This window comes from Homo sapiens, chromosome 4 (genome assembly GCF_000001405.40).
Source record: "Homo sapiens chromosome 4, GRCh38.p14 Primary Assembly".
Lineage (NCBI taxonomy): Eukaryota > Metazoa > Chordata > Mammalia > Primates > Hominidae > Homo > Homo sapiens.
Genome location: NC_000004.12, coordinates 114,630,537 through 114,657,892, shown reverse-complemented (window position 1 = coordinate 114,657,892; position 27,356 = coordinate 114,630,537). Strand labels below are relative to the sequence as shown.

The window sequence follows — 27,356 nt, the reverse complement described above, 5'->3', positions numbered from 1 at the left end:
CTCTCTGAGGCCCAGCTTCCTCATCTCTAAAAACACTTACGATACTTTACAAGCACACTGCAGAGATTAAATGAGATTAAATATATAAAAGTGCTTTGTCAACTAAAAATTATGCTGTTCTCTTCCCTGGCCATGATATCTGATAAGTAATACACAGATTATGGACTGAAATGATATCCACATTGAGAAAAGGAAAAAAAAAAAGGTCATTCTGCACCAAGATATTTTCTCTCAGTTGTATTTGTTCACTATGTTTTGGACTTTTCAGAATAAAGTTGTTTAAAATACATAAATGAAAAGTAGTACCAAAAATGTTCACATGCAGCATCAAATCTAGTTTTCAGTTTTTCAGAAAACTCAAATGATTTCCCAGATCATCTAGAAGGGTATAAACTACAATTACGCTACAGAAGCAATAGAGAGATCAATGTCAAGGCAATGGTTCTATTTTTAAAATCTCAAAAGATGCCTTCAACACAGTGAAAGTTCAGGAGAATGAAATAAGCACCCAGAAGGGTGTATTCATTTCCACTGAGATTCTGCAGTATCGGTTTTTCTTCATTGTGAGCTTGATTAATTTTGCCAGTACAGTTACAATTAAAATAAGTAAGCAAAATTTGAAACCCTGATTTGACTTTGAAAAGTTAAATTTTCAAGGTTCTTAAGACCTTCAAGGAACTGAACACAAGCAGCAGGGACATCCCGAGGATATGATGATGGCAAGGTACTGAGGAGATATGGAAAGTAACCACGAGATAGAAAAAAAGGACAAAAATAATAAACGGAGGTGAAACTCTCACCAGAAAAAAAAAATCACTACGGAAATGATATCTAAATCTTTCTTACGTTACAAAAGAAATTTGATTAATGGACTTGGAAACCCACCTAATTTCTGGGTCACTATTTGATAAATGATTATTTGATAGCCATGACCAGCTGCTATGTACCATATCTGACACTTGGGACATATCAAAGAATAAATAAACAAAATGTTCTGTCTTCAGAGAGTTTATATTTTTTAATGAGGCCGTACCTACAGTAAGTAGATATGGGGAAATGAAGAGCAGATAAAGTATTGAAACCTGGCCTCAGATTCATCAGGTACCAATATTTTATCTACTCTTCACTCCCCCAAATACAGCCTGCCTTGGGTGCCTGAAACTTCCCCCTCAGGTCACAGTTATTTACCAAGATCACAACAAAGTATCTCCTCTATTGTTCTCCCCTGTGAGACCTGTTCTTTCAACAGGGCACCTACCACACTTCTTGTAGCATGTGAGTTTATTCACAAGACTTTTCTTCTCCTAGGTGTAAGATGCAGTAGGTGCTCAATACTTATTTCTTTTAATAAATCAAGAAAGCTAATAGTAATCTAAGTCTTTGAAAGGATAAACAGCAAGTACACTGCTTTATTTTGCCATTCAGTTAACAGGATAAATAACACTGTCGTTTCCCTAGAACTTTAAACAAATTATTGAGCACTTTAAAGAAATGTCTCCTTTCAAAAATCAAGCTTAGCTACTAAATTATGTGACCTACATAAACAAAAGAAAGGCAGTCTTGCTAGCTAATCTGTCTGCCTCCTTTCTTTCCAGAAAAAAAAACAAAAACAAAAAGAAAACACTCAATTTTTTTCATGATAATCAGTATTATGCCATAAAGACACAGAGACTGATGAGAAATATTTACATAGCTTCCAATTCTGACTACCAAGTAAAATTAGTAATGTGACAGCAAAGAAGTCTTGTAAGTAACACCTTAATCAAACGATTAAAGTGGACATCATCAATAATGAAGCAAGTCAAAATCACGTACCACCTAATCAGATGCAACATGCAGAATATAGCATCCCTTCTGTGATATTCCTGTAAGGATGCAAAACCTGAATCCAATTATGAGGAACAAATGATAAACCCAAATTGAGGGACATTCTATACAACAGGCCGATATCCTTCAACAACATCAAAACAATGAGAATCTAAGAAACACTGAGTAAGTGTTCAAGAAGGAGCCTAAAGACATAGCAAATAAAGGCCACTGATAATTCTGAACTGGATCCTTTCCTTATTAAGGACATTATTAGTGGCTCTCACAAAACTTCATTGAGGTGTAAAACTTAGATGGTAGTAATATATCATTGTTAATTTCCTTATTTTTATGGTTTGTATTGTGATTATGCAGAAAAATGCCCTCATGTGCACAAAATATATATCAATGTTTTGGAGGGTGACAGGGTATCATATAGAAATCTTATTGTCAGATGGTTCTGGTAAAAAAAATAACTTTGAACTGAGTTTGCAAATTTCCTGCAGACTTAATATTGTTTTAAAAATAATGTAGTTGGGGATTGTTATATTACAAAAGAAAAATTAAATAAAAAAAGACAGCTTTCAATTTAACAATTCCACATGAGAAACATGGTTTACTATCAACAAGCATTACCACCAAGTAACAAACACCACCACCTAGAATAAGCCCCTGTAACCAATAATCTTTGTTTCAAAACAACTTATGTGGACTTCTTTTTGTCTCTAAAAGCTTCCCCTTACTCCAAACCCCTCACAGATGCATCCATGGTCTGCAATGGCATGCATATCCAGCATTGCAGACCCTTGCTATTCCCAAATAAACTGTTTTAGAGAAAAAACACACAAAACAAACAAAAACAAATATCCCAGGATTCTGGATGATGCAAACTAAATAAATAAAAGTTTATTGTGGAAAAATCTAGATAATCGATTTTTATTTTTAAATTTAAACTTCCCTCCATCAATTTCAGCATCTAAATAACATAATAAGCTGCAAATTACTTTACAAAAAAAAAAACAAAAAACAAAAAACTAGGTACCGGGAATTGGTAAGTGGTCTATTTTGTAAAAACAATGTAGGGAAATATAAGTTATCAGTCATACTTGAAAATTATAAAGCCATTGCAAAAGACATAGGAATTATATTGTGTGGCAGACTGTATGTTCCCATAAACAGCTAAATTAGTATTTCCAGTCCCACATGTGTTTTCAGAAAGTCCCCATCAAGAGGTGCTACGTCCACACTGTATAAACTTGGGCAGGTAAGCTTTGGCTGACTCGTGACTTCTCTGGTCAACTGATTACAGAAGAAGTAATCCTATGTGAGTTCTAAGGTTAGATAACAAAAGATACACTTGACACCTACTTCTCTCTCTCTTGCAAAATGCACCCTTCTTTTCCAAACACTATGCCATATCAGTAAAGAAGGCAACATGAAGACAAGGGAAGGTGTTGTAGCTACTAGCTCAACTAAAGTCTCAGCCAACAGCTAATTTTAACTGTCAAACATGAGACTGAACAAGCCTGAGGATGATTCCAGCCTCTAGCTCTCAAGTGTTCTAGCTGATTCCCCAGACAGTATAGAGCACAGAAAAGTTGTTCCTGCTATTCTGTCTGAATTCCTCAACTATAGGTATAATAGGTGGTTGCTTAAACGTTACTAGGGTAGATTTTGCAGCTCTAGGGGCTGAAATGTCTCTAATGCATCTTCATTTGGTTTCTTTCTCAAGAGTCATAAATGGAATCTGAAAAACAGCACTAAGAGATCCACATGAGGTCCCTAACATTTTTTTTTTCTCATAAAGATCAGGGAGAATAGAACATAACCAACAGTCACTGAATACCTACTTTGTGACTTTAAACACATTAAGTTATCTCTTCTAAGAAAATACGAGAGTGGATAAAGTTGAGGCCAATAATACCAAATAACCTACTTCTAATCCATTAACCTATGGTCTTCATTAATACTCCAGCAAAGAAAATGTAATACTTACTACATTTCCAAATTAATTTCCAAAATAATTCTGGTAGCTATATTCCCTTTTGAAGTCCACTGATATTACCAACAAAGACAGAGCGCAGTGCAGATCTTGTTTAACCTGCATGCATATTCATTTCATCAATAATTCAATATCAGTTAACAAACTTTTGCTGGTCACCTTCTATGTGCCAGGCACCAGGTGTCAGGAATATAAGAGAGCAAGATATGGTTTCCTCCTCAGAAGTTCATAGTCCATTTCAGATTCATGAGCTTCATTAACAGCACATTAATACTGCCTCTGCCCTACTTCCTCCCTGAAGACTGGGGAAATAAAGAGCCTAAAAATAAATAATAAATTTTCCAAAAATGCACTTATATTAAATCTCTGTAAATTGTAGCCCAGTTTTCTCTTGATTTCAGAGTTGAATTTCTAAAGGAACAGTTTAGTGACAGGCAATTAAAGGTTGCACACCAACATTTCCAAACCAATTAGAAATACATTTATAATCAGTTAAATTATATGTCAAAAATTCATTGGCAACTAAAGAATCCCTTCTTAAAGAAAATTTCTCTTTTTCTAATGTAATACTGATATTTAGCATTTCTAGATTATACATCTATATAGAGAAAGACAGTAAGTGCAGGACTTGGCTAAAACAGGTCAAATTCACATAATTTCCAGGGTAAATCACTCAAATAGATCCTTCCAGGTCAATGACAATATCAAAGTATACTTGAGTCAGCTTCTCTTAAATGCCTAGTGTAGTATGTATAAAGCTAGGCAAAGGCCACAATATGCAATAAGGTCATATTCTACGACTATAACGTCATGGATATTTTCATTAGCTCTAGTGTTTCTATCTTATGAGCATGAATAGCATATATGTTCAAGGGAAGAGAAGTCTTTAACTTTTATGGGGTAAGTGATTATATAGACTAGAAAACTAGGAACTTGATCACCCTTTCTCCTTCATCTCACTCCCCACTTTTCATAATCTATTTCTACAACTATTCAGGAAGTAAACTCGTTTGCAACAAAGTCAACGATCCAGAACGGTATGGGCAATGGTACATTAATCCTGGGATGAGTGGCTTGGTCATCTCAAGGAAAGATTTTGTACCTTGGGCAGAAACATGTAGAGCCATGATACAGTGCCTTCTAGACTGTGTACTCTTCCATGTACTACCTTACATAAAAACAATTTAAAAATATATCTTATTCTTTTCCTGCATAAACAATGAGATCAGAATAAGATAAAAATCCTAACTGGACCCAGCAAAGACTCCAACGTTAGAATAAACATCAGTTATCAAACATAGCTATTTGGGGTTGCTATGACCCTCAGCCTCCCCTAAAGGAACTGACCTGCCAAGAGCACTCTTTCATCTCATTATATTCTATACAGCCAATTCTGTGGAACTAAAATTTGGATTTATGTGCTCTTCTAATCCTTCAATACCATGACTTTTTTCCATTAATACAATTTATCACTATGCTCACAGAGAAGTCTGTAATAGAGGTATGTCTTTGAATAAGCAGCCCAAAATGTACTTTCTCACCAATTTCTTTTTATCTTAACTCCTAGACCCATCATAAAAGTGCACTTCCCAATGCCAACCAGTTTATTTTAAAAGACCTATTAAAATACTCTCCACTCAATGCCAATGCTCAAGTTCTCTACACTAGTTACTTAAAAAAAAAAAAAATACCCATGAGAAAAATCTTGAAATTTTCATTGGTCCAACTACCAGCTGACATCCAAGGTCCTTCTGTTTCTTACTTCCTCCTTTGATCAACACTACATGGTTCTACATTCCCTTAGCTTATCCCATCCCTGACCACTCTGGTGACTTTACTCTCTCTGATTTCCTTTGTTAGAAGTACTTCCATCTATTGAAATTCAACAGGTCCTTCAAGCTCAGCTCAAATGCTAACTTCAACAGATCCTTCCAGGTCAGTTGAAATGTCACTTACTATATCAATTCATGTCTAATTATGCCAAATTTAAGAATTTATCTTCTTTGAGAGTACTTTATAGCTTCTTTGGTTCTGTTCATATTTGAACGTGTGATAAAATTATTTGTATACATATGTCATTTTTTTTTTGCAGACTATAAATTCCTTTAATTTCAAGGCATCCCAAATAGTGTATTCCCCATAATTTGTGTACACTCAATAGTCATCTGATAGCTTATAATTTTCATTGTTTGCTAAATCAAATCCATAAAAAATCCATCAACTCATAAGAGTTTATTCCAATAACTCATTTGTAAATCTTTTCAGAAATCTATGCACATTTTCCCAAAATGTTATTGTTATACATGATAATTTAGGATAAAGTTACACTTCAGTATTTCAGGTATATTTTGGATTAATGATTACTTCAAAAGACTTCTGGAAGATAACTTAAGGTCCTGGGTACCACAAATTAATATTCTCTACTTCTAATCCTGGGTGTCAGAGAATGACAGATTCTCTGCATATGCTTAACAGTGAGCATGTTAAAGAGCTTATGAATCTAAGATATGTTTGTAACAGAGAGGGCAGGAGGAAAACCCTTATCAGTGTATTTCAGCAAGAAGGCAGAAGTGGTGTATATATGGAAAACTAGTTTGTTCTTGCTTTTAATCTTGAAATTGCCTTAAATTTCACATAAAATTAAAATGACATGTGAGACTTCTACATTTATAAAAGAGAAACATGTATAAAGAAAAAAGCTTAAGTAATGCTTACTAGAAAAGAACACTTGAAGTATTCCCAATTGTGGAAAAATGGAAAGAGCCAATCGTAACTTGTCAAGTCTTTTCAAGTCAAACTGCATATTTTCTTGGTGTACTTTATTTTACTATGTAACTTCACAGGAAAATTGGTAAGAGACACTACTCAATAGAATGAAAATTGAAAAAAATGAGGAAGTAATTTTTCCCCGCTAAGTTAACAGCTACAAGGAAAAACTATGCTGGCAAAGGTCTCAAATATCTTGTCAAGTTCTAAAAACCTGAGTCTAAGATTAGGCAATTGGAGAACACAAGTACAGAAGGAATGTTAAGTAAAGTAGAGATAAGATCTTTCCAGGATCAATCAAGTAAGGAGTTTCTGAAAAGGTGAGTTTCAGGTAGGAAAGTCTATATCAGAGACAGGAAATGGCAGGATGAAAAAGGATGTTTTGGGCAACGGAAATGACATGTTCTATGAAAAAAAAAAGGTGTTGCAGGATAGAAAAAAACTTGCATATCTGCAGAATCAAAACCTTTGTATGAAAAAGCAAGAAAGAAATATATCAGTGAAAGAGTAGGCGCAAAAGTTTTGTTTTTGTTTTGTTTTGTTGTTGTTGTTTTTAAACAAAGCCCTGAATTTATGAGTTCTTCTGGATTCCTGTAACCTGAAGACTGATTGTGACAAACTGAATATGCCACAAAATAGATTAAAAACCAATGACCAAAAGTCAGAAACATCCCCAGGAAAACAATTCTTTCTAAGGAATGGGAAATCGTAGTCATGATATTGGACTAAGTATCTCATAAAATATAAGAATACATATATTATACTTTAAATAAAAATTGACAAATCAACTTTAATATATTTGTTAGTTGCAGTAATAGACTGCTTCAAAAGATATGAGGCTTTAAAAAATAGCTCACACCCACTTATGGCTAGTGTTCCATTATTGGAATGCTATGCATGTGGGAGTTATTTATATCCTACTGCTCAAGTCATCACCAAGTTCTGATTTTCCAATCATGCAAAAATTCAAAAAATTGCAACCTCCGGCATAAATGGGTTAAATAGATACAAATGTGGAAAAATTCTTTAATAAGTGCTATTTGCAAAAGGTTCCAGGAAGATAACATGCAGATAAGATGCTTGGAAAAGGTCTCCAAGGCAAGCCAATTGCCAGGCATTCTGAAATAATGCAACTCCAAAGGCAACAAATGTGACTACACAGCTGGAGTCACCCCAAAAGATTTAGCACCTGAAGAGAGGAGAATCAATGATCCTAATACACTTCAAGTCCTCAGGGCAATTGCAGAATCGCCATGTGAGCTCAGGGTGGGTAAAATCTCTGCATACCAATGAAAGTGGTTAAAAAACCCACTGATCCAAAACATTGCTGCTTTTAATTAGCAGCTCACATATAATTTTATATCAGTGTTTATTGAATTTAAATAATCACATAAAAATCAGTACTTCTCAAAGTGAAAAAACACAAAAGTGTACCAAGGAGTTAATACTATAAAAGACATAAGATGAAATTTTAATTTTAATTCATAAAGTTTAAGGGTTTTTTTTTAAAATAAGAAAACAAACATAGGTAGATCATTGTGGAAGACACTTCCTCCACTTCCTTAGTAACAACTTCCAACTTTTAGCCGGGCATACTGCAGCCCAGCTAAAGACTACATTTTCTAGTCTTAGCTGAACGTAAGTGTGGACACATAGCTAGCCAATGTTCTGGTCAATGAGATGTAACAAAAATGCACCATTTGATGGCCAGAATGCAGCAGCCAAGCAGCCATCTTGACCGTGGGGTTGAGGGTTGCACAGGAGGATGGTAGAGCAGAGTGTTGAAGCAGCTTGGGTCCCTACTGATTCTCAGCATTGTCATACCACCCTGGACTGCTTATCTCAGAACTTCCTTTATGTGACACAAAAATAAACTTCCACTGTGTATAGCTACTTAATTTTTTTCAATTATGTGTGTTAAAACATAATCTTAATTGACGCAACCACAAAGAAGAATACAAAACAGGAGACTTCAAATAAATCAATAAATGTTCACGCTTCTGATTGACTGTAAATATGGCTAGGCCAGTATCACTCAAATAGGCAAACTGATTCCTCTGTGGTGTGCAGGTTTGAGAAGGACTGCAATGTAAATTATTAGTATAATACTAATCTCTGTGTCATTTGAGTTGCTTTAAAACTAGAATACTCTACCCACACTACATTGGCAACCTCTAGTACCCTAGGGATCAGAAATTACATATCCAATATGCTATCCAATATTATCCCCAGCATCGTTAATTTTAAAGAAAAGCTAAAATCATATTGCGTTAGTAATTTATTTTCCAGCTGAAGAAACTGAAGAAAGATATTAACTGCTAGGAGGTAATCAGAAGCAGAGTTAGAATTAAGCTCCAGTTCTATGTTCTAGTCCAGTGCCCTCCATCCTAAAATATTAGCATGGCCTTATTATACTCTGTGAAATAATCTAGGCTATTTAAAGTTCCTCAGAAGGATAAAGTTAATAAATTGAAGCAATTCATATGTTTTTACAAATTTGCTCAATGGTAAGAAATTACTTTATATTATATTCCCCAAAGTTACATTTCTTTTTCTTCCCTTATGCCATATATTTGAAGGGACAAACAATGATATACATAAAGAAATCTTAACCAATTTCGCAACTGGTAAACACTTTGTAGTTGCTGGTCATTCTTTTCTTTCCTTTAAAAGAATTTGTTTTATTGCATAGGCATTAATCTACCCTAAGCTCTGCAACTGAAGTTTTAAAAACATGTCAACAGCTTGTTCCTCATAAATATATTCTTATTTAATTATAATCCATGACAAAATTGAAATAAATTATATATACCTGAAGTCTCATTTTTGTGCCATAATGGCAAGATTTAAAAAATAATGCCTTTCCCAAAACTATTACAATACAGCCTAAATACCATTCATTAAGTATCCTGAATCCGATTTGACTAAAAAAAAAAAAAAAAAAAAACCAGATTTTCTGTGTGTCTGAGATCACATATTAATGATACTACTGAACATACATGCTCATGCTCACAGCATTTACAACCCCTCCTTCCTCACCACAGGCAAGAAGTGCATACTGCTCATTTCTCATATGCTTTTGAGTATTAATAAAGCACATAAATGTTATCACATACTGATCTGCTCTGAGTAAGCTGAAATATGTTGGAATGGCATTCTATCCTATACAATGAAGAGAAATAAAGGGAATCAAAACAAGGAATCTTTTATTATATATGAAAAGTCAACTAGGCAAAGGACCTCAGAAGGCAGGCTGAATTAAGTGGATTTTAGAGTCTTCAGGAAATAAGAAAATCTCTCTGGCAAACAGTGCACCGAACTGACATCCACTAAACATAAAAATAAGCAAGAACATGACATTGTCCATGAATTGGAATATCTATCTATGTTCACAAAATTTCTTCCACAGTTATGTCAATTAACCGTCAAGAACAAGGACAAAGCAATAAGAGGATATAAGGGACAGAGGCAAGGTGATGCCTAAGAGCCAGCAGCCTGAGTTCAAATTCTGTCTTCTGCCCCTCACTGGCTGTGTAATCTTTGCAAATTCCAGTACCCTAGAGTCACTTAGCCTCCTTGGACCTCATGCTCCTAATCTGAAAATGGAGATACAAGCAGTCCTTACCTTCTAGGGATATTATGAGGCTTGAAAGAGCTAATTCTGGTGGCTCATGCCTGTAATCCCAACACTTTGGGAGACTGAGGTGGACTGATCATTTGAGATCAAGAGTTCGAGACCAGTCTGGCCAATGTGGTGAAACCCCGCCTCTACTAAAAATACAAAAAAATTAGCTGGGCATGGTGGCAGCTGAGTAGTCCCAGCTACTCAGGAGGCTGAGGCAGGAGAATCGTTTGAACCTGGGAGACTGAGGCTGCAGTGAGCTGAGATAGCGCCACTGCACTCCAGCCTGGGTGACAGAGTGAGACACACACACACACACACACACACACACACACACACAAAAGAGCTAATTCATGTAAATTGTTTAGAATGGTAACTGGTATATAAAAGCATTCAACGAGCATTGGTTGTTATTATTTAACTGTCATTGTAAGTAATGACATAAAAGAAAATCACAAATTATTACTATAGATCCTCAGGAAGGAAGCAGTTGACATCTTTTATAACATCTCAGGCAATACTACTGGAGACTACTTACAAATTAAAGTTATAATTGATATATTTTATAAAATCTCTACAGGTGTCAATATGACTTTCTAAAAAGAATAAATTATTTACCACTGAAATTGTCAATCTGTTTCTAGTTGTGTATACTTCTACAAACAGAATCAAACTGCTTTAGAATGAAGAGTTCAGACTAAATCCGAGTGACGGAAACATGCTTCTTTCCCTAGATCAATAGTCATGTTTCTGAATTCCAAAAGATTTAGCTCTGTCTCAATCTCTGAAACTTCACAAAAGCCTGTCCCCAGTGATTGTGGAAGTGCATTTCTGCAGGACTATGACTCCAACATGAACGTGGCAGTGGCCTCAACAATTTGACCAAATTGAAACAAAAAATATTGTCATTTCTAGGCATATCAAAAAACACTACATCATAATCATGAATTATTAGCATCACATAGCATGGAAATCTATTTCAAGAGACTTGCCAATTTGCTTTCTCATCTCTGGTTTTGTGAGAGAATTAGAACTAATGCCCTATCCAAGGTGTCCATTGTGTACAATGAATTAACTTCTCTTGAATGCATCTGGAAATGGTACTATCTGTGTGTCTTTCTGCAGGGCTTAATTCTCCTGTGAAACCCCAGTAGTGAAATGCTACTTTTGGAAAATAATTTTTTTCATTAAAACAGAAATTATGCCCATGATACTCTTGATGATTATTATCATAATGATGACAACTTCACTGTTTATCACATTGTTTCTATGACATTAAGGCTGAAGTGTTTTATTATGCATATATATATAGATATAGATATAGATATATGTATGTATATACAGATATATATATATAATGTTCATCTGATATACCTTAAATTAGCAGCTTTTTTCACATTGAATTTCAAACAAATAGTTTATGTTGCTCTTTTGTTCAAATAAAGATATCTGATTCGGGGTTCTTTTAATTGGCAATGAAAACAAACTAGAATTTTTTCCCTGAAAGGCACTTTTATTTTGTCACTAATCAATCCTGTGGAAGTTCTTCTTTAAGTATCATATCAGACATAAATCTTGCAAAACAGTATATCTAAGTATATCTCCTGAGCTAATTCACTTTGAAAGATCAATAAATAGATACTCTGCAATACTTCTTATTACATATACTACATAATATGGAAAAAGATATTCCGTCTCTGTGCAGTTATCTATTTAATTGCTTACATCTGACTTCCTGCTTAAAAATGTACATTATTGTTTCATTCTCTCTTCTGTCCCTTCAACCTAGACAAGCTCTATCTCACAGTATGCACTCAGTAAACATTTGCTAAATCAACAGAGTCCTGAAATGTGTAAAATCTACCTATTTCACTAATCTATCCCTATACAACTCAGATAAATAGAAGCCATACATGTGTATCATATCAAGGCACAAATCTAACAAATCTACCTTTGTGAAATTGTCTTTTCCCAGATGACATGTCAACTTAAGGTCATTGGTATATATTCGATGACTACTTCTTTAGTATAAGCAGGTTTTTCTATGATGACCATAAGAGAATTTTCCTTCTTGTCTCTATTTCTCTTTTCATCTTGTATAAAATATTAGAAATGTTAGTACACAGTTACCATTTGTGGTATTTTTCTAACAATGTGATATAGAAGCACAAAAAAATATTATGTGTAATATGGCGTGATGAAAAAAAATTAACTCTATAGTGTCCAAAAACAGTGGTTAGAAATACAGGCATTCAAAAAGACCTGAGCTTGATATCTCGCTATGCGACTTGAATGATATTACTCATCTTCTCTTACCTGATAAGGAAAATGGGGTTGTCAATACTTCTTACACCTCATAGGATATCATGAGGATAAAATGAAATAGTACATGTAAAGAACTCAACACTACACTTCTTCATGGTAAGCACTCACCAACCAATCACCACTGGGATTGTTTTAAAGAGAACTTGGTAGTGAAACTCTTGATGCTTATCCTCATTCACGTTCCCATGGCTTGCTAACAACTTTTAACCAATATTTGGATTTGTTAATTTTTTTGCTCATTGAATGTTCTTCAACATAAACACAGCCTGAATTCCCCCTCAAAGTTTCCTTATATTTTCCAAACCTTGAAGATGGTTAGGAAGTCTGTCTGTGAACTGCATGTGTAGAGTGTTATAATTAATTATAGTAGAAGAATATAGCAGAATTAATTATAGTAGAAGAAGCTGAAAGTAGCTTTAAGGAGCTAATAACCAGATTAGGAATATTAAGACATAAAGATTTGAATGTATAACTACATGTGAAAGTAGTGCCTAAGAATGATAACTTAAGAGGCAAGTGGGCCACTTTCAGCTGTAGAGGGACCATGCAGAGATGTATGTTGACAACTCCATGCTCAACACACCCTGCAGATATGAGGCACTCAATAAGCATTAACTGAAAGAGAGGAAGGATAGGTGTGATTTTAATAGGCATAAAGCAAGGGATAGAACATTTTAGGCAGCAAAAGGCTTGAAAGGCATAGATCACAAATTATAAATTGTATCAATTCATCCATTCAGTTTATGATTATGAAAGGACTATAATATACCAGCCTCAGGGAGACAATGAGTGCCTACCTCAAGAGGTCCAAATGAGGGGCCAAGAACTCATCACAGTCCAAGCAGGGAAAGGTGAGTAAAAGAATCATTGCATTTCAATGTGATATGCTAAAATAGGTTATGGGATTCAGATAAAAACATCAAAGGGTCCAGGAAGCCTTCCAAATGAAGTGATGTTAAAAATGGGAAACAGATCAGTTTACCTGAAGTGAATAACTGTGAGGCATAAAATGAGAAGGATACCAATGAACAGGTAGGTCTGACTGCCAGCATCAGATATTCCTAATCTGGTTATTAGCTCCTTAAACCTACTTTCAGCTTCTTCTGCTATAATTAATTATAGCACTCTACACATGCAATTCACAGACAGACTTCCTAACCATCTTCAAGGTTTGAAAAATATAAGGAAACTTTGAGAGGGAATTCAGGCTGTGTTTATCATCATTTACACATGGGGCCCCAAAAGAACTATTTCTCAAGAGAGAAATGGCATAACAAGTGCTGTGTTATTTGCAGATTATTCAGTCACTGTTTTCAGTGTAGATTAGATTCAGAGAAGAAAGGCACCATGGCTGAAGGGTAAAGCCTGGAAAACAGGGTAGTAGGCGCTGCAATTGTTCACACGCGAGGTCACAGCAATTTGCAGAAAATGGGAGTAGAAATAAAATGGAACAGAAAAATATAGATGACATTTCTAAGGAGGAACCACCAGTATTTCTTGAAACCAGAAAGAAAGAAGCATTGAGAGTTTGAGAAATGTGTATTTCATGTTTGATGTGTTGTGGCTTTTAAGGGATCCAAATAGCATATTAAAAAAAAAAATGCCTATGTTAGCCAAAGTGATTCCCTTTCTCTAACTCTTATGTAATATGCTTAGTGTCTTAGTTTTTCCACCACCTGAGAAACTGATGTAAAAACTACAAATGCATTTATTTGTCCAACAGATTCACTGAGTACCTACTGTGCATAATGCCAAATACATACTGTGCTCAGCACTATCAGAAGGAAATACAGTTGGAGTGATTTATCTTTTGTTTGTGAAATACTATCTAAAACAATGCCCTGAAGCTATTTAAAGGTTAACTAGTATTAGCTTCACTCAGAAAAATGTGATAATATAACATTTTTTCTAATCCCCATAAGTTTCTCTTTATCAGTACCAAATGGAAAAGCACAAAACAAGAACAACTTCTTCTGGTTACTATATGGCTCGGTGCTATTTTTTTAAAGGACAGTCCTGCCTAATTATTAGTCCCAACTGTAATTCAAGTGGCTTATTTAGGTGCACTATCATTCTCCAAACCTGTGTAACTATTAAAATTTAAACTTCTGTTTATAGTATTTCTTTCTGTTCTCCTGAATATGACTGCCTAATTACCCAGAAGCCACTGCCATTGACCCGCATCCAGACATTGTTTTTATAACTTAATACAAACAAAAAAGTCAGAGAGTATGTGACTGTGCATCTTAAGTCCTGGGCACTACTGTTTCATAGTTTTTACCTTGGACCTTCACCTACAATTATACAAACTAAAACAACATTAAAATAATAAGAACCAAAAAAGCCTTTGTTCTTCTTTCAAATATCTAAAAAAGCTATGTCCCATTGTGGACAAAAATAATCCTTTAAAGGAGTAGTTGTTTCTAATTTTGTTCTGATTGAGGTATGATACTAATCAGAGATCACATAGTTGATCTCAGAGACCCACAGATAATAATTCACAAAATAAAAATACCATATTCTGCATTAAAAAGAATTTTTCTAAAATATTGTCATTAAACAATTCCACCCTATTTATTTTCTATCACTTTCCCCTTAAGGGCCTTTAAAACAACAATTTTTTTGAAATACATTTTTCTCATACACCAAAAGAAAGCCAAATGACAAGCGAACAAATCCTATTGCTTACAAACTAAAACAGCTACAAGAAAGATGAAATAAATAAAATGAGCTTTTATTTACTGCAGTGATGAGGGCTAGTTTATTCAGCTGTCCATGCTGGGTGATTCAATATACAGCTGCTCATTCAAGTGAAAATATAGGAGGATTCAGGAAGCAAAATAGTCACAGCCTGAGAAGTTAGCTGGTAAAAAATATCAGGTTTAGCTGAGCAGTCTCATATTGGAAGAACACATCAATAAAACTCTACCCCCAAAAATTGTAATCATATGTTAATCTTGCTACAAGCTAAGTAATACCTACTGCTCATTGAGGGCCTAATATGTGCTGAGCATGGCAGAAAATGGTGCTTTCTCACTTTATTATCCCATTTAAACTGCAAAACAACACTATAAAATAGATCGTTTCCCTTAAAAATGAGAACAGAAGACTCAGAAAGTCCCACTATCTCAAAGATATAAATCGCTAAAAAAAAAAAGTCAACAAAGGTTAATATACGTTGAAAAAGCTCATCATCTTTCAGCTACACGTTGCTGCATCTGACCTTACAATTCTATTACATACATAAGGGTCCTGTTAACAATTTTAACAAGAGGAGGCTGTTAAGCATCTAGGTAGCACTAATTCCCATCTCAACTACTTTACAAGGATAATAAGCCCCCTTTCCTCTTTTTATTGATATTTATTTATATCCCTTTAATGTAAATTTCCAACTTATAAACTATTGCATGTCATCTTGTAACATCTCAAATTCACTTTTGAAACTATCAGTCACGTTGATTTTATTTTCAGTACACAGCTATATCGAAAAATATAATGTCTACCAACTTTTCCTTTTTCTGTCAAAGTGTAAAAGAAAATGAGAAGATTAATTCAGGCAATAAAGAAATTTTGATCTTATAATTTATTCAAGTTTGTTTCTGTTTCAGGTTCCAAAAATCTAATAAATTTTTTTTCTGTTCCATTCTCCTCTCTCGTTTTTCTCCAGTTTACTACAGTGGTTTACTACATGGGTTACTACAGTCACTTTACTACAATGGTTAATCTCTCGCTTTATGAATCAATAAATATCATCAATAGATTAGAGGTCTTCATATCACTGTAACCCTGGCCAGATAAACGTATATGAATAAACCTGTGTCTAGCATCCAGCATCCATTAGGGTTTACAGACGCCACAGTTTTTTAAAAAACTAACGTATTATGAAAATTTTCTAGGTCTAACATTTTAAATTATGAAATAACTCTCTCATAGCTTCCGTGAATTGGAGTCTATGATTGGGTCATCCAGGGCAGTTACCAAACTCAAATTTAATATAATCAAAATTCCAAGTATTGCTTTGATTGTGGGAATAAAAACAAAGTGAGACTGAACAAAGAGGAACAGATTTCTCCCACGGATGAAAGGGAAGGAATAAGCTCCTAATGATGCTCTTATTTTAGGGTAACCTTGTCTATGAAGATAGTAATGCCACCAATAGTAGAGCTTTTGTGGTTCTTTTAGCAGCAATTGATTATCAGTTGATAAAGATTCATTACAAATTATTAATTCAGGCTTTAGCTTTAGCTTTTCTTAAGGCTATTAATTTTAACTATTACATTTACATATTGCCTGCCAGCTTTTTTTGAACACAGCACATGCAAAAGTTTAGTAGAACTTCTCCACAGAAATACTCTATGACCGATAACAATGACTAAAATGCCACAAAGATCAGAGATTCACATAAGGTAAGACTAGCCTGTCCTTTTGGTGATATTTTCTAAGATAGATCCTGATATGGTTTGGCTGTGTCCCCACCCAAATCTCACCTTGAATTCTCATGTGTTATGAGAAGGACCCGGTGGGAGGTAATTGAATCATGGGGGCAAGTCTTTCCCGTGCTGTTCTCATGATAGTGAATAAGTCTCACAAGATCTGATGATTTTTAAAACAGGAATTTTTCTGCACAATCTCTCTCTTTGCCTGCCACCATTCATGTAAGATGTGACTTGCCCTTCTTTGCCTTCCACCATGGTGGAAGTTTCCACATTTCCCCAGCCAAATGGAACTGTGGGCTCTCCATTAAACCACTTTCCTTTGTAAACAGCCTAGTCTCAGGTATGTCTTTATCAGCAGTGTGAAAACGAACTAATACAGGTCCTTTGGTGAGATCTCCTAGCATATGTCTTTGAATTAAATAAAATCCAGCTACCTTAGGGTATATCATACATATTTTTTAACTTTAACACTTAAAAAAATCTCTTATTTTATTTTGGATGTCAGCTAGGGCCTACTTGAGTCAATACCTATAAATGTATTCCTCCTGGAAAATATAATAGAAGTAGAAACCTGAGAAACTTTTTTCTTCTAAAAAACATATTTTTGGCCGGGCGCGGTGGCTCACGCCTGTAATCCCAGCACTTTGGGAGGCCGAGGCGGGCGGATCACAAGGTCAGGAGATCGAGACCATCCTGGCTAACACGGTGAAACCCCGTCTCTACTAAAAATACAAAAAATTAGCCAGGCGTGGTGGCGGGCGCCTGTAGTCCCAGCTACTCGGGAGGCTGAGGCAGGAGAATGGCGTGAACCCGGGAGGCGGAGCTTGCAGTGAGCCGAGATCGCGCCACTGCACTCCAGCCTGGGCGACAGAGCGAGACTCCGTCTCAAAAAAAAAAAAAAACAAACAAACATATTTTTACATGAAACTATCAATCTATAAGATCTTAACAGTAAAAAGGAAAATGCACTAAATATGACACTAAACTGAAGTCAACAATTGATGTTCCCTGCACCCAATAAGGCATCCATCATCCTGATTCCAGTTCATTGCTTTCATATGATCCCCTTCTCCTCCAGGCAAGCTCTGTTTCAGGAAGACAACACTAGGCAACTAAGGAGAAGTAGGTTTACTGTGTGCCAAGTACTTAACACAATTTATTTTGTTTATTGTTTTACATTTCATGGATAAGTTGAAGTTCTGAGAAATTAAATCATTTTCCCAATGACTTAAAACTAGTAATAGTAAACCCAGGATTACAACACAGGTTTGCCTTGTGTTAAAACCTGTGCTCATTCTAGTACCAACCAACCTCCTTAGGTCATCTCAAAGATGGTTTCCAAAAGGCACCATGCTCAGTTGTTATGGAAAAGTCAAGAGACAATAAAAGAAGAAAAGGCAAAGCAAAGTAATGGGAAAGATTACAAAACACAGATTCTTCATTACAAATTAACTAAAGGCCAGTAAGGCTACCTTTCATGGCACCACTTTCTGGATACATAATCCCATTCCAACTCTTGGCTTCAACTACACCTAGGTTTAATGAGAATGTGAATGTTCTTATGTTAAACAAGAGAACCAGGGACATCAGAACACCTAGAAGATGAGGCTTGTAGTGGCAGGTTCTTCGAGTATCTGACTGGAATAGGTCCTGATACTGAATATATATTTGCTGAGAGAATTGATGAATGACTGAGTGAATGGAGTCTGATAATGAGTGTGGAAGAGAGTCAGAGACTGCTATTCTTTATTTCCATTTGGGTGTTCTTTCACAAATGGAAAGGACATTGGAATCACAGTGAGCTAGAAAACTTATAGATTGCCTGAAAGATCTTTGAGGGCTTTAAGGTTTACGGCATTTTATTTTGTATCTCCAGCATCTAATGGAGTCTCTTGCAGTTGACAGGTACTCAATAAATATTTTCCAATAAGTAATAGAATAAGCCAACGATATAGGTATGAAGGGCTGGGCATTTTCTTTTACAAGGATAAATATTCTCTACTAAGATCCCCACCATATTAGGAAAGTCTGTGAGAAATCCTCAGTGAGCTTGGAATGGAAGCTAGAAAATCTTCTGCAGTAAGAGATATGTAAAAATACCAGTCAGGCCTGAGTATAAATGGGCCACAACAGACCTACAAAACTTAGTGGAATCACAAAATGATGTAGAGAATTCATAACCCAAACAAGTAGCCAGTGGGAGGAATTAAACTTTCCAATAAAGTAGAGAACATTCAGCATAACCAAAGATCAGAATGACCTAAAATGTCAGTCATGTTAGGAGGAAGGAGCTCCTTGCTCTCTGTCACAGGAGATGAGTTTAAAAGTGACAGTGTACAGTGTCTCACACGTGGTGACCTTCAATAAAATACTATGGAAAGAAATGAAATGAGCAAGGAAAACAGATGGAGGGAGGACAGATGAATGCTCCTAAAATTTGCCTCGTCTGTTAATGAGCTTTAGTTACTGGGCTCTCCAGAGGGTCTTGATGTCAGTTACCTAGTAAACATTTTCTTAGCACAGATCCAAAAGTCAGGGATGGAAAAACTACAGTGGAACACCCTTGGAACCCTCATGTAAAAAGCTCATAATGACCCTGTTCCTTACTCCCAGGCCCTAATGTCATACTCTTCAGCACCCTATGCTTTCCTTCATAGCACTTCTAAATGTTGAATAATGGGATTCGTAGTTCAATGAGGGCAAAAATCAACTGTGTTCTGCTAAATCTTGTCTTCTCAGGAGCTAACACAGTCACTGGATTTAAATGAATACATGATTTACTATTTTTAAGTGTCATTTTCCGGTCTGATCATAATGATAAAAGGGTATTTTTTGCTGTTTTAAGTAAATAAAACAAGCACCACATGTCATTCTAAATGTATATCATATATGTATTCTATGGTAAAGTTAATTTCAAAAAAATCTGCCAGAGGTTTAAAATATATTAATCTGGTAGAAAACAAGTATGAGGTTACGTATTTTAGCCTGTAATTCTGAAGGTTCGTTTAGCCCAAACTCTTTATTTTGCAAATGAATAAAGTGGGCCTATCATGATGAAGTAGTTCTGGATCTCTCTGTTCTGTCAGGTTATTAAATTGTCAGTATTCATTGCTTTCAGCATGCCTGCCTCAAAAATGTACTTGCTGTTTTTAACCTTCATAGGCTTGGAAATAAAATAACCAAGCTGTTTAGCAGGTATATAATTGGAATAAATTAACTCTGCGTGATGAAGGCCTAAGGGCAGCTACTGTGAGTCAAGTAAATAAATGTTAGTTCCTGGACATTTTGGCATTTATTTTGGCCTCTCAAATGTCTTTGTGACTTTCTTTCTAGCTCTTGGTGTCGTTCAGGTAAATGAGACCTCCAGAAAAAGTCTGTTTATTACTGGAGTTAGTAGAAGAAATGACACCAAAACTCTAGATCTTTGGTTTTCCATTAAATGTTCTCTTAAAAATGCAGCTCATTTAAAACTAAGTGTGTACTTACTGAATTTCAGGAAATCGCAACTTCATTACTTCCTAAAATGTATATTTCTAAACAAGAACACATACTCAACAAAATATGTACAGTCTAAACAGCAACATGGGATGTGTCCGGCCTATTTTATTCTCAAATCAGAAAAGAAATAATTAAACCTACAGGAGGATGTTAAGCACCATGCCAGGCACTGTAGCATTGTAGAACTCACAAAGACCGTGAGATGTGAGATGCAGATGAAAATGCTGCCTTACCTCCTTCCTCAAAGTTTGAGCCATAATCGCCCGTAGGAGTGGACCATAAAACTGGTATTAGGGGCATTCATATTGTGTCCTCCTAATCCTCTGGAACCATTACCTCTCTGACTTTTACTAACCAGATTATGCTGCTGGTATTGATTCTTTTGACTAATGCCTCACTGTTACTAGACCTCCAATTTCAGTATAAAATATTCACTACTGCTTGAAAGGTAATATGTTAAATTGCTATCAGCCATTAACACATAGTGTTGAATGAATGTCTTTTCCCTCATTCTTTGCTGCAGCTAAGTGTATCTGAGGTTTAGAAACAAAGCGGTTTAAATTTAAGAAAATAAAAACACAGAGAGAGAGAAGGGAATAGGGAATTTTGGAGCCTGAGCCACAATAAGGTTAACTGAGGATGCTACAGTTGGTTTGTGGCCACAGGGTTCCAATGTAGGGTAAAACAAAGCAGAGTGGAGAAGGCAGCGGGAAGTTTGGGGGAAGGGAGAGGGGGCAGCAGAATGCTGAAATGGAGCAGAATAGAAGAAAGTAAAAAAAGAGAAATCAAAGGCTAAATAGAAACTTAATTTTGATAAGGCTGGCTATATTTTAAAGAGATTACGGATTTCTGTGAAAGGATAATATCAAGAAATTATTTCTAGTGAGTTAAAACATTTTGTTAAATATTGCCACATTCAGCACAAATGCTTATAATGAAACACTAATGCGTAAAGATTATTTATTTATGGTTCTCAAACAGAAATGGTATTGTATCAACTCCACTGGGTATGCTTTGTCCGGTTTGATTTTCTAATTAGCAATTCTTAGCATGATTAAATGCTAAATACACAGCTGTGTAAGGCTTCAGCTGGTAGTAACCAGTAGTGCCTAATACTGACTTTTTAAAGAGAATAACAAAAGTACTCAAATACTGGATATAAACCTTTTGAGGCCTTATTCCCTATTCAGCTGAAAGAAGTAATCAACATAAGCACTGATTGTATACAATATGTGAATAAAGCTTGTATCTATGTATTATTTGACATTTCTGTTAAAAAGTTATGTGGACTAGATGGAAAATAAGCCTAGCTTAAATAATGTATTCAGCTGAAATCACATATATATTACCATGATTTCCATTAAACCGTAATTTTAAAAGACTAAAGTTATTACTAAGCAAGTCTAGAGGGATAAACTATACCATCCATATCAAAACATTATCAGAATCCCATATGTTCTGAAAAATGAGCTTTTTTGTATTCATATGAAAAGTTGTATATAATCTAGTACATAAATAATTTCTCTTTTCATTCTTACATTATCTCTTCTTGTAACATCTAATGCTTCTAAAAATTGGAAACAATGGAGACTTTTCTGTCTTCATAACAGGAAACTGATTCAAATTACACATCAGAATACATTTCTGCTCTTTAAATTTGTAAAGATCTGGTAAACAAGCCTCATTTGAAGTTTTATTTACAAAGCGATATACTTAAAACTTAACTGAAATAAATGGATCTTTTTTATGAGGGGGGAAAGCATTTGAACTTTACCAAAATAAATTTGCAAAAGCTTGAAGCATTTTTCTATAATTTCAATTTTTTCCTTAAAATGTTTCTAAATAAATATTTTACAAAATCTTTTCCACAAATTCTCTATCACAAAAAGCTGAAAGGTATAATTCTTAAAAGGTAAGAAAATTATGTATATGGCTTGATGCATTTCAAAATTCTCTTTAAGATTATAGTTGAAGAAAAAAAGTCTTTCAATAAAAATGGTAATTCAATTATATTCACTGGGGAAAAATATGTACTTTCTGTATTGTACAAAATCAAATAATATGGTGGCTTGAATTTTTTTTTTTTTGAGACAGAATCTCACTCTGTCACCCAGGCTGGAGTGCAGTGGCACAATCTCAGCTCACTGCAACCTCTGCCTCCGGGCTTCAAGTGATTCTCCTGCCTCAGCCTCCTCAGTAGCTGGTATTACAAGTGCGTGCCACCATGCTCAGCTAATTTTTGTATTGTGAGTAGAGATGGGGTTTGATCATGATGGCCAGGCTGGTCTCGAACTCCTGACCTCAAGTGATGGTGGCCTGAATTTTTAATCATTGGTTTTTAAAAAACAAATATTACTTGTCTTAAGTCTATTTCTAATTATTGTTCATGGTTTACTAAAAAAAAAAAAAGCTTCACTAGTACACAAATTGTAAAACTGATCCTTTTCTATGCCTCTCACTTGTCCATCCTCTGCAAGACTCCAGCTTTATGAATTATCAGAGATCTGCCAACTGCACTAGAAATAAGAACGATTTAAGAATGGAAGTCTGTATTTTAATGTATGTATAAGGCTCAAAATTTTCTCTTTCACACCATCACTGAAGTGGAAGCCACTTTAAAGACCGTCCAAGCCCTATCACTGACCCACTCACAATTTAGTGATAAAAAAAGGTAAAGTGATCTTGTCAAGGACTAGATATTCACCTGGTTCCCAGTGAGTACTCTGTCACCTCTACCAATGGTCTGATGCCACAAATGTAAGAAGATTGTTAAAGGAGAGTATAAGTTTAGTCATTTATTACTATATATCTACTTAGCAACAACTAAAATTGTCCAGTGACTCAGGACCACAGGTATACATACCCAACTAACTCATGGAAACATCCAATTCACCAACACCAATAAAGGATGGACCTATGATATCACTTTTTCTAGTTATCCTTTATCCTTTCCTAGTCATGACTTCTCAGAATTCTTGGAGACTCCTCTTCCCTCCTCCTCTTCCTTGGAGAGTCGATAAGCCACTGCATTTATTTCCATGGCTTTACTATAATCTCTTGGAAGGTAACTCCCACAACTGAATACCCAGCATTGACCTTTCCTATCAACTCCATGCTCACATGTTCAAACATCAATTTGACTTTTGAATCCACTCATATACCCACAGGTTTCTCAAATTCAATATGCCCCCAACTAAACAATGTATTTTCCTAAAGAACTTCTTCATCCCTTACTCTTTCGCATCAAGGAAATGCCATCCACCAGTTGCTCAAGCAAGAAAACTGGGTTTTTTAGAACCGCCCATCACTCAACTTCACCCCATTCAATTCTACCTCCCAAATATACTTGGAATTATCCCACTTCTCACCATCTCTGCAGCCATCAATGCACCTCTGAGCTACTGCAACATTCACCCAATTGATCCTGCCTGTCTCCTCTCTTCCCCTTTTATTGTTCTTTTTCCACAAAGCAACCAGAGTGATCCTTTTTTTTTTTTAGACAGTCTCACTCTGTCCTCCAGGCTGGAGTGCAGTGGCGCCATCTGGGCTCACTGCAACCTCTGCCTCCTGGCTTCAAGTGATTCTCCTGCCTCAGTCTCCCGAGTAGCTGGGATTACAGGCACACACCACCACGCTTGGCTAATTTTTGTATTTTTAGTAGAGACGGGGTTTCACCAAGTTGGTCAGGCTGGTCTCGAACTCCTGACCTCTTGATCTGCCCACTTTGGCTTTCCAAAGTGCTGGGATGACAGGCGAAAGCCACCATACCTGGCCCAGAGTGTGGATTTTCTAAAAGTAAATCCAATCATGTTAAAGCCCATCTAAAGCCTCAGAAGGAAATCCAAACCTTGGACAGTGAACAAGGCTTTGCATGATATCATCTCTGTTCATCTCTCTAAGGTCACCTCAGTCACTCTACCCTAGCTCCATGCCATCAGCTTCTCAGCCCCCACTGATCTTTCTCAGTTCTTCAAAATGTAAAGTCCTTCCCACTTTGGGGTGGGTGTTGGTTGCCTGGAATACTCTCCTTCCATCAGCTCTCTCCACTTTCTCAGGAGGCATTACTCTGATTGTCTGAGAAGACTCCTTATTTTCTATCACTGCATTCTTTTGGCTTCTGTTACAGCAGTTTAGCTTTGGAAATATGCATCATATTAATTTGTTTACATCTTTATTATTTCCCCTATTAGACTAGAAGCAACACAAACAAAAAAACCATGAACTGCACTTAACATTGCTAGCTCAGTGCCTGGCACATATTAGGTACCCAATAAATCTGCACTCAATGTATAACTAAATGGCCATCTATCCTTTTTAAGTGTGGCCATCTCTTTGTGATTTGTAAAACCTTTTCAATGTTATACATGTGAAAAAGTTCTAAGAGGACTTTGTAGTGAAAAAAAAGTCAAGTCGGTTTATCTGTTTCTCATCATGGCCTGAAAATGGTAGTCAAGGAATTTAGTTAGCCCCAAGGTTTTAACAATATTTATCAAGTCAATTAAGTTGCTTTTCACTGATAAAAAGTCTGGAAATGCATAGTGTAATAAAAGTTTTATTCCATTTTTGCAAAATAAATTAGGCAACTGTATTGACTTTTGCAACTTCGGATTACGTTAATTCAAAACATATGTATTAAAGCCCATACTGTGCAAGTACTGTCGTACTAGGAATGAAAGTGGGTGGGACATAAAAGTTGACTGACCTGAGATCCCTCAGTATTGCTTCCTCCATTATTTGTTTCTGAAATATTTAAAATTCCTTAGAACCTAATGTTTTTCTTAAAGATCTGTGCAAATCAAATCTTTTTAAATGCTATCAGAAGACCTTTTCTCTAAATCTAATTCAGTATAAAATGATTCAATAGACATTCATTAAGTAGTTACTATATTCAATGAAGTAGAACCAAGTCAGCTTACTTTGTAAAGTTTATTTTTACTCTATCACATATCAAGGAAGGAAAAAAGCAGAAGAAAATCAAGGGAAGTTAGTATCCACCACGTGGTCTTAAGTTTCCCCTCCTGCATTTGAACACCATAATTTTTCTGAAAATCCACCCTGTCAAAAGCCACCCAAATGAAATACTATATGTAAATGACCACTTTTATAGGAACTTCTTTGAAGTTTTAGGACAAAGGAAGACATGCTTGTCTGTCTCTTTTTCTCTCTCCTATCTAATAGCATTTTCATCTCTCACAGCTCTTTCTAGAATGGATGCTCTGTTAACCAGCTAATTAACTCTCTATGTTTATATTAATCAGAATTCTTGAATCTTCTCCTAGAAGTGGTTCCTACAAACAGCAATAAATGCTGCTTTACCAAAATATACTCGAAGGCCAAAAGCAAATGGTGAAGATGAATTAAAACAGGGAGAAGAGTTGAAAGTTATTAGTTCTGAGGCCCTTACCTATTACTGACATGGCTGTACATGGCCACTCTATTTAGATCTATATCTTAAAGCAAGAACTGATCATTCAACAGCATCATCTTAGTTTCACAAAGTGGAACTGTAAGGTAATGAGCTGTTCAGATCTACAGTGTAATCCAGGGCTTTTCTAGTTCTTGAAATCTAGATACATATCCATTTGTTTGGGTGCAATTTACACTGAAAATAACTTTCTAAAACAGAGAAAATCTTTAATTACCAGAAAAAAGATTCTCATACAAAATACATTACGCAATGCTATTAAAATTTATGGATCACATGGATTGTATGAGTTTAAATTAATGGTTCTCAAATAGTGGCTGGTCATCTGACCAACAGTATCAGCATGACCAGGTAACATGGTACAAATTATTAGACCCACCCCAGATCTACTAAGTGGCCTACAATCACGTGCCGACAGGAATTTCATGGAATTCTGATCTAAGCAATACTGAAAGAGAATACAATACTGAAGGAAAATACAAAGGATACAATGGGACATTACTTTTCTTTTATTGTTGTTTTTGTTGAGATGGAGTCTCACTCTGTCGCCCAGGCTGGCGTGCAGTGGCACGATCTCAGCTCACTGTGACCTCTGCCTCACGGGTTCAAGCGATTCTCCTGTTTCAGCCTCCCGAGTAGCTGGCACTATAGGCATGCACCACAACAACGCCCTGCTAATTTTTTTGTATTTTTAGTAGAGATGGGGTTACATCATGTTGGCCAGGCTGGTCTAGAACTCCTGACCTCAGGTGATCCACCTGCCTCAGCCTCCCAAAGTGCTGGGATTACAGGTGTGAGCCACTGAGCCCTGCTGGGATATTACTTTTAATGACAAAAACCACAATTACTTTTGCACCAACCTAATAAATAATATAGGAAGAAGTCAGTATAAATATTGGGGTTGGTTGCCGAGTCTGAACCTTAGATCTTAGAAGAAACTACTAAGGCTTTTTTGGCATTTCTAGGTTACTGAGTCTAGTTCTTCAGGGTCTGAGTGTGGAGGAGATTCAGTACAATGCTGGGCTAGAAGGAAGGCAATCATTTATTTGCCTAGAGTTCTCCCTTAAACTCCCTCAAAAATGAGAATCACAGAGTCAGGAGAATGGATAGGTGTGGAGCCAGCAGAAGAGGGGCTGGAGTCCCAGTTCCTCCACTGAAAGGCCTGAAAAATCAGTGTCCCAGAGGTTAAAGAAGCCAGCATTCTGATGAAGCTACTCCCTTAATTCTTCTTTCTACCCTAGAGAAGATATATCTATCAATTTCTGTTCATTTCTTAAGAAACTCCAGGTGATCTAAGAACCACGTATCTCACACAATTGTCATCGTCCTTCTACTTCACTAAGAAAAATAATGGAAGAAAGAAAAAAAAAAAATCCCCAAGATGGAAACAGAAGTACCAGTGTCAACAGCCCGAATGAAGAGAGGTGAAACCATAGATGCTCCACATCCCTCCTACATCTCTATCCACTCTCCTGA

The 27,356-nt window shown here is 35.9% G+C and overlaps 1 protein-coding gene and 1 non-coding gene across 10 annotated transcripts in view; both read right to left on the bottom strand.

The window, feature by feature from the left end:
• The window catches only part of UGT8 (UDP glycosyltransferase 8), a 79,824-nt gene that overhangs the window by 20,333 nt on the left and 32,135 nt on the right, over positions 1-27,356 (bottom strand). The window lies entirely within an intron of this gene.
• On the bottom strand, positions 1,039-1,134 carry MIR577 (microRNA 577). The gene has a single exon (NR_030303.1). It is a non-coding gene; the product is annotated as a microRNA 577 (primary transcript).